Source organism: Homo sapiens, chromosome 2 (genome assembly GCF_000001405.40).
Source record: "Homo sapiens chromosome 2, GRCh38.p14 Primary Assembly".
Taxonomy (NCBI): Eukaryota; Metazoa; Chordata; class Mammalia; order Primates; family Hominidae; genus Homo; species Homo sapiens.
In genome coordinates, this window is record NC_000002.12 from 85,845,389 (window position 1) to 85,860,810 (window position 15,422).

At 45.2% G+C, this 15,422-nt stretch overlaps 1 protein-coding gene across 20 annotated transcripts in view, besides 4 other annotated features; it reads right to left on the reverse strand.

Moving 5' to 3' along the window:
- ST3GAL5 (ST3 beta-galactoside alpha-2,3-sialyltransferase 5) overlaps positions 1-15,422 on the reverse strand; it is a 51,915-nt gene that overhangs the window by 8,269 nt on the left and 28,224 nt on the right. For 10 of the 20 annotated variants that reach the window (NM_003896.4, NM_001354227.2, NM_001354229.2 and 7 more), the window contains 2 exons: positions 2,473-2,816; positions 989-1,175 (listed from right to left, as the gene is read on the reverse strand). In NM_003896.4, the coding sequence (NP_003887.3) occupies positions 989-1,175; positions 2,473-2,816 (531 nt within the window). Of the gene's footprint in view, positions 1-988; positions 1,176-1,993; positions 2,175-2,472; positions 2,994-5,875; positions 6,316-7,471; positions 8,788-15,422 lie in introns of those variants that run through there. The other 10 variants (NM_001354226.2, NM_001354223.2, NM_001354247.1 and 7 more) reach the window with 9 other exon arrangements.
- Positions 2,117-2,176: an enhancer, noted in NCBI's record as "active region_16139". NCBI's record gives its function as "activates an Ori minimal core promoter by ATAC-STARR-seq in GM12878 lymphoblastoid cells {active_cell/tissue: GM12878}" and the evidence as "EXISTENCE:reporter gene assay evidence [ECO:0000049][PMID:35858748]".
- Positions 8,059-8,198: an enhancer, noted in NCBI's record as "active region_16140". NCBI's record gives its function as "activates an Ori minimal core promoter by ATAC-STARR-seq in GM12878 lymphoblastoid cells {active_cell/tissue: GM12878}" and the evidence as "EXISTENCE:reporter gene assay evidence [ECO:0000049][PMID:35858748]".
- Positions 8,209-8,308: an enhancer, noted in NCBI's record as "active region_16141". NCBI's record gives its function as "activates an Ori minimal core promoter by ATAC-STARR-seq in GM12878 lymphoblastoid cells {active_cell/tissue: GM12878}" and the evidence as "EXISTENCE:reporter gene assay evidence [ECO:0000049][PMID:35858748]".
- Positions 8,679-8,808: an enhancer, noted in NCBI's record as "active region_16142". NCBI's record gives its function as "activates an Ori minimal core promoter by ATAC-STARR-seq in GM12878 lymphoblastoid cells {active_cell/tissue: GM12878}" and the evidence as "EXISTENCE:reporter gene assay evidence [ECO:0000049][PMID:35858748]".

The following is a 15,422-nucleotide window of genomic DNA, read 5'->3' on the forward strand; positions in this document are numbered from 1 at the left end:
CTAAGTAAGTCTAATTTCTGGAACTAGCCAAAAGCTATGCAAGTTCATGTCTGGAGAACAAGGTGGGTGAACAACCTCAGTAACAGCAATTTTGGTCACAATCTGGATATTCCCATTAAGCAATGATCACCATTTTCATGCGACTCTTAATTAGGTCTGGCCCATCCATGCAGAGTGTACAGCTGTACACAGACATAGGAGGAAAGCACCCACTCCTGGATTGACACAACTGCAGCAGGGCCTCTTTATAACCATCTCACTCCATTCCCGCCACCAAAAGGAAAAATACTCCCACTGTATGGTACTTTCCGATTTCAACTGGGGGGCAGGGTCTCATTTGTCTCTCAGGAGTGTGAAATTTCACCCATGAAATCAAAAGCACTGAGGAAGTGCCGGTGCTGAGACCGCACCCAACAAATCTCCCACTAGCTCCTAGTATTTGTTCAGTTTAAATTATAAACACCCTCACCACTGTCTCTACCAGGAATTCTCCAACCTGCCCATGTGCAAGAACCACTGGAAGAGGGCCAGGTGCAGTGGCTCATGTTTGTAATCCCAGCACTTTTGGAGGCTGAGGCGGGTGGATCTCCTGAGGTCAGGAGTTTGAGACCAGCCTGGCCAACATGGTGAAACCCCATCTCTATTAAAAATACAAAAATTAACTGGGCGTGGTGGCAGGCGCCTGTAATCCTAGCTACTCGGGAGGCTGAGGCAGGAGAATTGCTTGAACCTGGGATGCGGAGGCTGCAGAGAGCCAAGACTGCACCACTGCACTCCAGCCCTCTAGCCTGGACAACAGAATGAGACTCCATCCCCAAAAAAAAGAATTGCTGAGGGGTTTCTACAAAGAGAGTGATCATCATTTGAAAGACAACACATAAGTATGCATTCCGCTCTGCGTGTTTAAAAATAAAAGGCTATAATTACAACTAAGTAAGACTCCTTCACTTTTTACTAAGGCAGATTTAATAGAAGTATTAGTGCTTACCAGGGTTTCCTTTTTTACCATTGCTTGAAGCCAGTTGAAATCAACACTCTTAAATAAAACAGCAACAAATAAGTCATTGGAATAATATTCAAGGTCAGACAGTGGTGCGCCCTCTGGATAAGTCATCCTTATAGTAGTTTTATTTCCAACATGTTCTGAATATCCCTCAACTGGTGCACTGTTTAACCTATTTAAATAAAAAGGACAAAGACACACTGACAAAGCAGGCCATCAACCATCTCTGTACACCAGGCAGTATCCATGTCATGTCCTCCACGTCTTCTTATGACTAAGAATGAGTGCATGGTTTGCAGCCTCATCTCCCCTCCCAGCTCTGTCTTTCTAGGATTTCGAGGAATGCAGCCTTTAGTACTTGAGCGAACACTTGTATCTAATCCCTGAATGTCAAGCAATTTCATCTAGCCCTAATATTTTTACTCAATCTAAGCATATTACATTTGGGACTTTCTCTGGGTGCCAGTAAAATATCCTCAGAAATTTTCCATTGTGCTCAGATGTTAGTTCTTGCCAGAATTTCAAAAAAGGAATCAGAAGGGAAAATCTAGTCCACCATGCCTGGCTGACTTTTTGATTTTCTGTAGAGACAAGCTGTCTCTATGTTGCCCAGGCTGGTCTTGAACTCCTGAGCTCAAGCGATCCTCCTGCCTTGGCCTCCCAAAGTGCTGGGATTATAGGCATGAGCCACTGCGCCTGGCCAGAAAACAATTTTTAAACAGTGAAACCAAAAAAGAATCTAGGATGACTGCCTATTGGCTATCATGGTGAGTCTGAACTTCTCTGTGTGCCTTCCATGTCCCAGCCAGCACTGCCTTCCAGGACTCACTGGCCCCAAGCCCCTTCTCCAGAAGCCAGGCCCCTCATTGACTCAAGTCTCTTGCTGTGTCCTCTTCTTGCCCCTGTCTGGGAGTTGTGGTCCTTTGCTGTTTTACTTGAATCTACCCACCTTCCAAATCTCACTTCCTCTGACAAGGTTCTGCCACTTACTGTAGCCAGCAGCATGCTCCTCCAACTTAGGGTCAGTATGACAGTTTGGAGCATCCAACCATTTTGTGTTTTTGTTTCAACTTCTCAAACGTTAAGTCCCTTGTGGGCAGGGACTGTGAAGAGCTTCCTGTGTCCCTCACTGTTCCTGGAGCCACACTGACCAAGAGCAGTGCACTGAGTTCTAGAGGAGAAAGGTTGGTTTTAAAAGCGATGTACCCCAGTCTGGGCAATTCGGAGAAACCCCATCTCTACTAAAAATATAAAAAATTAGCCACGCGTGGTGTGTGCCTGGGGTCCCAGCTACTGGGGAGGCTGTGGTGGGAGGATCTCCTGAGCCTGGGAAGTTGAGGCTGCAGTGAGCTGAGATCACACCACTGCACTCCAGCCTGGACAACAGGAGTGAGACCCTGCCTCAAAAAATAAAATAAAATAAAAACAATAAAAATAAGTAAACAAACAAACAAAAAAAACCAATGTACCTTATCACAACATCGAACTGGTTCAGGGTGTGGCCCAGTTCTAATCCGTGCAGTATTCCTCCGCTTCCAATAACCACACAGCGCCGACAGGTCTTGGCTTTCAAGTGTTCAGGGAGGTCGTGCTCTGGCAAGAGTTCCAAGAGGGTCTGGACTTTACTGGAGAACTTCCGGAACCCAAAAGGAGGATCGTACTTGGACTCAGCTTCACTGTCTTTGGGGGCCTTCTGCACAAAAGGGAGTAAGTCCACGCTATACCTGTGCTCAAATAACAGCGCCATTGATGTCTTGGCAAACTTGGGACGACATTCCTTCTGCAAGACTTGCTGAGCATATTTCTGAGCTCTCTGGAATGAAATCACACCAATCTGGGTTTTAAAAACTCTCCTGCATTAAAAATATACTCTTCTAGATGACAATTTGTCCTATGATGTCTGATGTAGCTCCCGTGTTGATTACTGTCTTTTAACACAGAATATTTGCTTTTTAGAGTTAAGTTTGGCTCAGAAACTTGAAGAAACAACCTGGGAGAATCACATGACAAGGAGATAAACACAGCAGGGTATTCATTTCATTGCACAGGCAAAGCAAGAAGGACTCCCGCCTCCCACCCCCAGCCTAACACTGTTCAAATACATTTGGGGTGAAAATGTACTTCGGGGTGTCTAAGACTTCATGTTTCATAAAATTCTGATACATGCTACAACATAGTTAAACTTTGAGGACATTATGCTAAGTGAAGCCAGTCACAAAGAGACAAATACTGTATGACCTGACTTATATGAGGTATCTAAAGTAGTCAAATTCATAAAAACATGGTTACCAGGGTTGAAGAGAGGGAGAAAAGGGGAGTTGTTTAATAGGTACAGCGTTTCGGTTTTGCAAGATGAAAACATTCTAGAAATTTGTTTCACAAGAGTTTAAATATACTTAATGCTGCCAAATGGTACATTTAAAAATAATTATGATGGTAAATTTTATGTTTTTTTTAACCACGATTAAAAAAAAGGTTTCATATATCAGGTTCTCATCTAGCAGGATGACAAACAGGCTTATTTATCAGTTGAGATACAGAATGTCACAGTCTAGAATGCAAATTACCTGAAAGAATCAGGGAATGTCCCCTTAACACAGAAATTGCATTGGTTTCAAAGCATTTTCCCAGCCTGCATTTCCATATGCATTTTAATGTTTTGCCTCAGCCAGGAGCTGCGTGAATGCAACAAAACTCAGAGGAAAGGCGGGCATGGCGGGTCACACCTATAATCTCAGCACTTTGGGAGGCCAAGGTGAGAGGGTTGCTTGAGCCCAGGAGTTCGAGGCTAGCCTGGGCAACATGGTGAGACCCCACCTATACAAAAAATTTTTTAAAAAATGGGTCAGGAGTGGTGGTGTGCCCCTGTGGCCCCAGCTACATGGGAGGCTGAGGCATGAGTATCGAGTGATCCTCAACCTGGAAGGTTGACACTGTAGTGAGCTGTGATTGTGCCACTGCACTCCAGCCTGGGTGACAGAGGGAGACCCTGTCTCTAAAACAAAAACAAGAACAAAAACATGACCATCCTGGCTAATACGGTGAAACTCGTCTCTACTAAAAATACAAAAATTAGCCGGGCACGTGGTGGTGGGCACCTGTAGTCCCAGCTACTCGGGAGGCTGAGGCAGGAGAATGGTGTGAACCCGGGAGGCAGAGCTTGCAGTGAGCCGAGATCGTGCCACTATACTCCAGCCTGGGCAACAGAGCGAGACTCTGTCTCAAAAAACAAAAAAACAAACAAAAAACCCCCCAAAAAACAAAAACGCAACCTTGGAGGAATATGGTATGCGTGTCCATTCACCCCAGTCTTCCTCTTGGCTCAGCTGGACAAATGCTGACTCAGAACCCCTGTCAGGTAGTTCTTCCTATCTTTGTGCTTTTTTATCCTTGTCTCCATATTTAGCAGCCTTGGAATTGGCCCTGCATTACTCCTCCTATTCACTACCTTCTCACAGGCAGAAGTGTGTGTGTGTGTGTGTGTGTGTGTGTGTGTGTAATCCTATATTTACTGGGATATTTATTAGGAATTCAACATATCTTTTCAACTTTGTCAGTATCATTATGAGGATTATTACTGGGGTATAGGTTTAAATGTTCATCCCAACTATGCTTTTCCTCAAGGCCTTGTTATTTTTATTTTCATTTTCTGATTTTTGCTTAACACATTTTTTTAGGAATGCATCTATCCTATTATAACAGAGATACTTAATATATTATAGCTTTGATAAGTTGTTAGCATCCGTGAAGAGAACACTGTCTACATCCGAAGAATCTGGCCCCATTTCTGAAAAAGGAACTGATATTCTTGGAGCCTCAGAAACGCTGCTGCAGACACCATGCATAGCCACTGCCTCAGTTCACCCTCACGACACTATGGCACCTTGCAAGACGATCATTAGTATCTTCACTTTGTAAGAGGTCTGAGCTGGCCCAGCAAACCTGGCTCCTAAAACAACAGCCTCTACCTATAGAAATCAGCACACAAACACCACCATTGATAACAAATGTTTAAATACGAATTGGCATCTTCATGAGGAAATCAGCAGGAAAGCCAAGCAAGGAATCTGCCTTGACCCTGAGCCCCCGAATGGAGGGGCTCACCCCTGGCCAGGCCTGCCCAGCAGGTGATGCTCCGGGTGCTTAATGCCAAGCTGGTGGAAGCGGGACACACAGAGCGGCCACACACACTGCACATTCATCTCAAAACCCTAGGCCCGAAGGTCATGAATGGCAATTTTTAGAGACCTAAAGGCCTAACCCTCCACTAGAGAATCATATCCTAAGTATCTGGTTTTACAAATCTCCTAGGACAGAAAGGAACATCTGAGAAGTGGCAAGAGGGACCCGGAGAAGCTCACTGATGGCCACGGGACTAGAAAGAGGTGCGTGAGCGAGCTGGATGCTCGCCAGGCTGCCAGGTCTCCTCTTCAGAAGCTGCATCTGGAAAGGAGTGAAATTTCATTCCATTTCCATTCTCACCAAGAGGTTAATTTCAGGTTTCAAACTTAATTTTCTTCTTTTTTTTTCTTTTTTTTTTTTTGAGACAGAGTCTCGCTCTGTCACCCAGGCTGGAGTGCAGTGGCGCAATTTCAGCTCACTGCAACCTCTGCCTCCCAGTTTCAAGCCATTCTCCTGCCTCAGGTTCCTGAGTAGCTGGGATTACAGGCGTGCACTGACACACCCGGCTACTTTTTGTATTTTCAGTACAGACGGGGTTTCACCATGTTGGTCAGGCTGGTCTCAAACTCCTGACCTAGTGATCCACCTGCCTCCACCTTCCAAAGTTCTGGGATTATAGATGTGAGCCACCACGCCCAGCCCAAACTTAATTTTCTAGACTGTGGGTAGGGCACATTTCTCAGTAGTCACCTTCTGACTGTGACCCCTCCTGCGCCTAAGTGACAGTGGATGCAGTAGTAAATCCTGAGTGAGTTTCTACATGTCCTGGCAACGTCTAAAGCCACAGCAATTCCTTGTCCTCTTTTGTTTCAACTCGTTTAACAGATCTCCACTGATTGCCTGGAGACAGGGCTTTTTCTGTAGAGAGCTCACACAGAACTCCATCTCATAGCCACTCAGAACAGGAGGACCACATGGGCCATGTCCTCCACTCTGGGATGGTTTCTGTTCTTGCTTCAATGGTGCACAACCAGACATCATTGTCTTGGGGGCTTCCTCAGAGCTTGTCCCACATCTTTAAGTAAGTTGAACCGGCATCTGCTTCAGCTGCTCTCTTCCCCCTCCACTGCTTGCCCATAGCTCACAGCTCAGAAGAAAGTGCCTCAAGGCGAGTGCCGCACCTTCAGGAGCTGCAATGAAGAGAGGAAGCAGTGTGACTAGGCTGTGAGGACTCCAGAGCTCCCAGGAAGGCCTCAGAGGCGTCAGCTGGGGCCTGGGTGGCATTCATCCAGATGAGGCTCACTGGAAGCCAGGAGCTGGTGACTCTCTCGTAAAATACAAGAACTCCCGTTCGTCTTATATCCAGGGACAAAAATAAAGGTTTCAGTTTTTAACATCTTCCAGGCTGCGCTTGCAGGTTGCCCACAATTAAGACAAAGTAGACATCTGGTAGTGCCAATTGTTAATGCTGTGGCAGTGTGCCATAAAAACATCATGTGAAATTCACAGAAAGGTATTAAAAACAATCAAAGTAATTTTCCTCAGCAAAATCCCCACTTTCATTTCCACTCTGAAATCTTAAGGACAACCCTTCTCAGAAATACAAGTAAGTGGCATAATTCTTAGTAAAAGGCAATGTTCTATTGCACTTATTATTTTTTAAAAATCCGGAACAGGGCAGAGCATTCAGATTGAAAGAAAACTTGTGTCTGGCATTAATGAGATGTGGGAAGGAGCTCAATTCTGCCATGGATCACGTGATCTGGGGGCATCAGTGACCTTGTGGAACTTTCATTTCCCACACCTGTAAACTCTGGTGCTGGTCGCTTCTTCGCAGGTTGCTCTGATGCCCTAAGCATTTTGCCCAGTACCTGGCATGTGTGGAGACTTGTATGATATCACACAAGGACAATAACTGAGGGTCACGTTATTGACATATTTTACTCACATTTAAGTTATAACTCTTACCCAGTTAGAAGCAGAAAAAAATTTAAATAACCAAGTCATGGAAATAACACTACACTATAAACTCAACCAGTTGGTGGAAGCCTGGGGTGGGGTTGAGGGTGGGGACTGACTGCAGAGGGGCTCCGGGGAACTCGCTTGGGCCATGGGAATGTGCTAAAGCGGGATTGTGGTGACAGAGGCGTGGCTGCATAAGTTTTTAATACTCATCAAACAATGGGCTTCAAAGGATTAAATCTTATGTAGATTTCATCCCATCAACTGTTAGAAAAAAAAATAATCAGGAGATCTGGAGGCTGGACTCAGTTCTAGATTGATTTAACTAGCAGCGTCGTCTTTGTTAAAGCATTTCTCCCTAGGTCGAGGCTTCAGTTTTCTTACCTCTAAGATATCCCAGGAAGGCCTGGAAAGCGGGGAGCAGCACTAAGGAGAGAAAAGACTCGGTTTGAAGATGCTGGTGCCTGGGCTCACTGAATGCTTCAGCAGGGAGGGCCCTGCTTCCTTTAAAGGCACGGTGTAGGTCTGCAGAGTCCGAGAGAAGACGATGAAGAAGCGGCTGAGTCCATCTGGCCATAATTAACTGCACGCAATGCCATCCGCAGGGAGATAAGGTCTTTAGCTCTCAGAAAGGAGAGAGGGCCAAGTTCAAAATGCTGCTACTACACAGCCCAAACCGAAACTGACATCAACGTGCCCTCGTCTCTCTTAAAACATCTTTTGAGTGCAATTTCACATCTGAACCACACTTTCAAAGTGTCCAGGCATCCCTTCAGAGCCCACTGGTAGTCTTTTTAACAACTGGCACATTAAGGGACATATTTAAATAGAAAATACAAAACCCACAACTGCCACAGCCACACTTCCTCTGCTGCAGTAATGAAGGCGGGGACCAGCGTCACCAGACAATGCTCAAGTCTAGCAGGGCTGGCAGGGTCCCACTCACACTGTGGGCTGCTGAGTGGAACCAACAGAGCTAACAGGGCCCCACCCTTATGGCTCTGAGACCTTCTTCTGCCCATATACATCCACGATAATTCAAATTTGTCCACGTGCTCTTGTGGTAAGGATCAAATCTCCACTGACTGCCTGGAGACGGGATTTTCTTCATGGAGAGCTCACACAGAACTCCATGTCATAGCCACTCAGAACACGAGGACCACACGGGCCATGTCCTCCACTCTATTCTTGCTTCAGTGATGCACAAATTAAGGAGCTGCTTCGTGCTTAGTGTAGCATTCAAGGCCTTTTGCTATCTGGCCCTGTCTCATTTTCAGTCCCATATCCTGTGATCCCTCCTCCCCAAATCCTCAGTGATAGGCAACTCTTGCCATTCCTCTCATGTGCAAAGCATTCTGAGGCCTGCACTTCTGCACAAACCACCTCTTCTGCGTGGAAGGAAGCAGGATATCCTGTCAGGACCGTTTTGAAAAGTGGAGCATTTTAACAAGGTCAAAATGTTAAAAACCTACTTAAAAAAATTCTCTAGTAACACAATAAGACACCCTCAATTCCACCATAATTATAGCAGGCTTTCACTTTCTATTTTACTAGTTTCAAACTCACGGAGTTTTACAAACATGTTTGACTTACACAGCTGCCCCCCATTCCTTCCTCTTTCTCTATGAAAAATTACAGGGGACTTTCTCCTTTACTTATTTCCGTATTACTTGAATTTTTGGTGTTTTTTTTAAATAATTGAAAAAAGTAACCTTTTAGAAATCGCTCAGCACTGGGGTGACATGGTAGATGGACACTGTGGGCTGCTGCTCAGTTTTGCTTAAGTGGCTTTGGCTCCTTCTCCAGGCAGGTAGGTGTAGGACCAGGGAGGCCAACTCCCCCATCAGAAGTCCTCCCAACCCCCCTCGTCAGTGATTGGTCAGGAGTCCTCACTGAAGCCCATCAAGGAAGGGCATTGGCATCTATGAAGGCTACTATTGGTCCAGCCATGAGCTTAGGTCTAAAAATTGGCCCAGTAGCCTAATGAAAGGACTTACATTCCATGGTTCAGGGAGAAGGGGCAGGGAGCGGGTGCTGGGCTTTTCCCTGTCTACCAGTGGATGTTTAGGTTGAAGAGAACTATCAGTCCTGTTCCTCACATTAAACCTAAGGTGCATTACTGATGTACTCAAAGAATTACAAGTTATAACCGGATTTTCTGTACAATCTAGAGTTCACAGGTAATGGAAGATTACACTGTGATTCAAGTACTATCTCCCCTTCCCCCTGAAGTTGAATATATGTAAGTGCATATTAAGTAATGTAAGATGTTAAGCACACAGCCCCTGTCTCCCAAGACCTGGCCTGGAAAACAAGTGGGGAAGATGAACAGCTGAAATCCTACAATGATAAACATCAGGATTAAGGCATGAGGGGGCTCTCTCACACACACAGAGGGACGATCAGGGATAGCCTCTTAGAAGGGGTAACCGCTGAGCTGAGACTTGACTTAAAATACGAGTAACAGAAGGGCGAAGGGCAGGGAAAGGCTCTAGGCAGCAAAGAAAGAAAGAATGCAGCAAATAGAGGAAAGTTCTTTTCAACAAATGGTCCTGGGACAACTGGAGAACAACATGCAAAAGGATGACCTTGGACCCTGACCTCACACTGATATGGTTTGACTCTTTGTCCCCACCCAAATCTCATCTGGTAGCTCCCATAATTCCCATGTGTTGTGGGAAGGACCCAGTGGTAGATGACTGAATCATGGGGGCAGGTCTTTCCTGTGCCGTTCTTGTGGTAGTGAATGGGTCTCATGAGATCTGATGGTTTTAAAAATGGGAGTTTCCCTGCACAGTTTCTCTCTTTTGCCTGCTGCCATTCATGTAAGACGTGACTTGCTCCTCCTTGCCTTCTGCCATGATTGTGAGGCTTCCCCTGCCATGTGGAGTTGTAACTACAATTAAACCTCTTCTGTAAATTGCCCAGTCTTAGGTATGTCTTTATCAGTAGTGAAAATGGACTAATATACCATATACAAAAATTAATGCAAAACGAATCAAAGACCTAAATGTAAGAGGTAGTATGTTATAAACATACTAGAAGAAAACTTGGGACTAAACAATAGTTTCTTAGATATGACACCAAAAGCATAAATGACCAAAGGAAAAATAGGTAAATTGGGTTTCATCAGAATTAAAGACTTTTGTGCTAAAAATGATACCCTAAAGAAAGTGAAAAGACAACTTAGAGAGTGGAGAAAATACTTGGAAATCACATACCAGATATAGGGTACTGGTATCCAGAACACAGAAAGAACTCTTACAATTTAAGAATAAAAAGTCAAATAGCCCAATTAAAAATGGGCAAAGGATCTGAATGGGCATTCCTCCAAAGAAAACACACATACGGTCAATGAGAGCACATGGGAAAGATGCTCAGCATCATTAGCTATCAGCAAATCAAAACCACAATGAGATATCACTTAACATCTATCAGGATGACAGTAGTAAAAAAGGAAAGATAATAACAAATGTTGATAAAGATGCGGAGAAACTGAAACTCTGGTACCTTGCTTACAAGAATGTAAAATAATGCAACCATTTTGGAAAACAGCTTGGCAGTTCCTCAAAAAGCAAAACATAGTTACCATATGACCCAGCAACTATATTCCTAGTATATACATAAAAGAACTGAAAACAGGTACACAAATACTTACATACACATGTTCACAGCAGCATTATTCATAATAGCCAAAAGTGGACACAACCCAAATGTCCACTAACTGATGAATGGATAAACAAAATGAGGTATATCCATACAATGAGGTATTATCCAGAAATAATAATGAAGTACCGATACATGCTACAACATGGGTGTACCTTCAAAACATTATCCTAAGTGAAAGAATCCAGTCACAGGAGACCATGAAATGAATAACATGAAATGTCCATAATAGGCAAATCTATACAGACAGAAAGTAGATTACTGGTTGCCTAGGATTTGTGGGGAGGGGGAAATAGGGAGTGACTATGAATGGATATGGAGTTTCTTTTTGGGATACTAAAAACCTTCTAAACTTAGATCATGGTGATGGTTGCACAGTTCTGTAAATCACTAAAACCATAGTGTATTGCACAAAATCACTGCACTGTATCCCTTTTTTTTTTCTCAGTGTCTTGTTCTGTTCTGTTTTATGGGCTGGAGTGCAGTGGCATGATTATAGCTCACTGTAATCTCAAACTCCTGGGCGCAAGTGATCCTTCTGCCTTAGTCTCTGGAGTAGCTAAGACTACAGTTGTGAGACACCACACAAGGCTAATGTTTTTATTTTTAATAGAGATGATGTCTTGGTATGTTGCCCAGGCTGGTCTCAAACTCCTGGCCTCAAATGATCCTTCCTGCCTCGGCCTCCCAAAAAGCTGGGATTATAGACAGGAGCCACCATGCCTGGCTGTACTGTATGCTTTAAATGGGTGAACTATGTGGTGTGTTAATTATATCTCAATAAAAATGTTTTAAGGGCAGGGCATGGTGGCTCATGTCTATAATCCCAGCACTTTGGGAGGCTGAGGCAGGAGGATCACTTGAGTCACTTGAGTCCAGGAGTTTGCGACTAGCCTGGGAAACACGGTAAGACCCTGCCTCTACCAAAAAAAAAAAAAAAAAAAAAAAAAAAAAAATAGGCACGTATGGTGGTGCATGCTATAGTCCCAGCTACTCAGGAGGCTGAGGTGGGAGGATTGCTTGAGCCTGGGAAGTTGAGGCTGCAGTGAGCAATGATCGGGCCACTGCACTTCAGCCTGGGTGACAGCGTGAGGCCCTGCTGAAAAGAAAAGAAGCTGGGCTCAGTGGCTCATGCCTGTCATCCTAGCACTTTGGGAGGTTGAGGCGGGTGGATCACCCGAGGTCAGGGGTTTAAGACCAGCCTGGCCAACATGACAAAACCCCATCTCCATTAAAAATACAAAAATTAGCTGGGTGTGGTGGCACATGCCTGTAATCCCAGCTACTCGGGAGGCTGAGACAGGAGAATCACTTGAACCCAGGAGGTGGAGGTTGCAGTGAGCTGAGATCATGCCACTGCACACCAGCCTGGGAGACAGAGTGAGACTCCGTCTCAAAAAAAAAAAAAAAAAAGAGAAAAGGAAAGAAGAGAAGAGGTTTACCCAAGGACCTGTGAGGGGTTGAGTGTGCCTAAAATACATAGAGTTGGGACAATGGAGGTGGCACAAAAAGACTGGAGAGATCAGTAGGAACCAAGTCATGAACGGTCTTCTGGGCCAGACTAAGGAGTCTGGGTATTTTCCTGAAGGTAAAGGAGAGGCACCAAAGAGTTTTAAGGAGGGAAGCAATATATTAGATTCAAATTGTAGAACACGACTACTCCGGCCACAGTGGGGCATGGCTGGATGCAGGAAGGCAGGTGAGAAGACACACAACCAGGGAAACAGGAAGAGCAGGTGACTCTAAAGGGCAGCCCTCGCTCACTACACCTTTCCTTAGAATGCCACGTACTATGTATTTTTACAGACATAGTCCCTACTCTCAAGTAACTTATACTTTAGATGGCAGGATGAGAGGCTCGTATGAATTAGGATAATACCGATGGAATGTGGCAAGCTTCAGAGGAGCTTGGAAGTAGCAGTGAGGTTCAGTCTGAAAGTCACTGAGTTGGGGACTGGTTAGGCTGCATGCAGGTGTTCTTTGAGAGCCTACCGTTTGAGACAACTCCACCCAGAATTCAGAACTTTGAAAGCCCCAGGTTACGAAACCAGCCTCCATCTTCCAGTCAGGCACTGGCAAATTGCTGAGAACCACAGAATCTCAGACCTGGAAGGGATCAGAAAGGCCCCTGAGCCCCTCCCTGTCTAATGTCTGAATTCTACCTACAGGACCCCTGGCTTTTTTTTGAGACAGAGTTTCACTCTTGTCGCCCAGGCTGGAGTGCAATGGCACAGTCTTGGCTCACTGCAACCTCCCTGTCTTGGGTTCAAGTGATTCTCCTGCCTCAGCCTCCTGAGTAGCTGGGATTACAGGTGCCTGCCACCACGCCCAGCTAATTTCTGTATTTTTAGTAGAGACGGGGTTTCACCATGTTGGCCAGGCTGGTCTCGAACTCCTGACCTCATGATCCGCCCACCTCAGCCTCCCAAGGTGCTGGGATTACAGGTGTGCGCCATCACACCCGGTCAGACCCCTGACTTTCTTAAAGATCCCCAGAGAGTCACCACAAAGGTGGTCTGTTTATCCCATCTTTGGATGCCTGGGACCGTCAAACCTTTCTCCTTTGAGATTGGCTGCCATCCCTATACAGAGCTCTGCCATTAAGGCCACCTGGGCAGGCCCATCCTTCTGCGGTCTGAACCTCTGGCTCATTGACACTGACTGCCATGTGCCCTGTACCAGGTCTTCTCTCCTTAAGGCTACACAGATGTTCCTATCCCTTCCATGATTCCTCAGGGAGGTGATCTTGAGTTTCTCCTCTGGTCATTCTTAGAAATCACTAGGATTCCTTAGGGGAGCCTTAACAAGTAACAGCCTAACAACCAGAGCACTTGACTGACCACTGCAGAGACAAGCAGACCACGTGGCTTAAGTTCAAAATGATCACAGGCAGCCGGGGCACAGGTTGACACAGATGTGCCTGGCTGGACAGGAAAACTACTAAGTTGATTTCCCCCAGGGTATTACTAAAACACACCTTCTCCACCCTGTGCTTGTGGAATAGTATTCTTGGCCCTTGTACAGGAGAGCGCACCTCTCTCCTCAGCTGACCCAGACTTTAGAACAATCACTTTACAGTTGGTCAGATGGTAATGGACAGGAAAAAGAGGATGCAAAGAGAAAGTGGAGAAGGGCAGCAGAGAAACAAAGGGAAGAGTTCCCAGTCCATCAGTAAGCCATACCAAGTGCCATCATTTAAAGACTTTCTCAGAAGACAAAAACAGAGACAGGATGTCTAAAACCTTTATCCAAGAGAGCTGTGAAGCGCCGTGGAATTGCAAAGGACTGGGGGAGGTATGTCTGCAAGGCCAGACAGTCCAGGAAGAAAGGGAAGCCTGAGCAGAGGGTACTGGACACATCCTACTCGACCAAAGCAGATGTGTTAATGCTGATGAAATGACATGAGCCAGCAGACACCTGAGGACACCTATGCTGGGAAGGCTGGCCCTGCGACCAGCAAGACCCTGAGACTCAATAGTTTTGCAGGAGCCAAGCTGTGCCTTTGCTAACTGAGCTCTTCATTTATTTGTTTATACCTGTCTGTACCACAAAAAAAATTGGAGGCACTTCAAAGGATGTACAAATTAAAGTAGAAACGTATGAATAAAAATTAGGATCAAGAAAGGAATTTTGTATATATTCTCTTACTCAACTTCTACATTTCACAGTTGAGAAAACTGGGACTCAAAACAATCAAGTCACCTGCCTAGGGTTTCACCATTACTAAGTGGCAGTTAGATTTGAATTGGGTAAAACATTTAAGCTCTTTCCTCTCTGCACCATGCTGCTTTTAACTTTGGGCTTCTCTGTGGACACTCCCTAACCAGGCAGAGAGCAGAGTGGTCAGGAGCTCAGACTCTGAAACCACACCACTGAATTCAAGCCGGGCTTCACCACGTACTGCCGCTGGTGACCCTGGGCAGGTTACTAAATCTCCCTGCTCCTCAGTTTCCCTGCCTGTGAGATGGGGATGATTGTAGCACCTACATCCCCAGGAATGTGATGAAAGTTAAATGAGCTAATATTACTAATACACTTTTAGAACAGTTCCTGGCACACGGGAGCACTAAACCACATTATAAACTAGCTAAACTAGACGTGAACTTGGGTGAGCAGCTCAACCTTTCAAGCCATCATCTGTAAGATGGAGATGATACTGGGATATCTCCCAGTCACAATGACTAAAGGAGATAATATATATAAAGCATCCATACATGTCAGTTATCATCCCTCTCATGCTACTTTATTTAAAATCATCTCTTCCTCCATCCTGGGCTAAATGTTATCAGATAATCCAGCCACTAAAATAATCAGTGACATAAGCATTTGATATGTCACTTGATTTGGAAACATAAATGTAAGCTGAAAGAAAAATCTTGCAATGCAATGTGAATTCATTAAAATTAAAAATAAAACACAGGAAGGACAGATGATACTAAGAGAATTTCTGGCCAGGCATGGTGGCTCATGTCTGTAATCCCCGACCTTTGGGAGGCCAAGGCGGGAGGATAGCTTGAGCCTAGGAGTTCAAGATCAGCCTGGGCAACATGGCAAGACCCCATCTCCACAAAAAATAAAAAAATTAGTCAGGCATGGTGGTGCACACCTGTGGTCCCAGCTACTCAGAAGGCTGAGGTGGCCGTGTTCTTGCCACTGCACTCAACCCTGG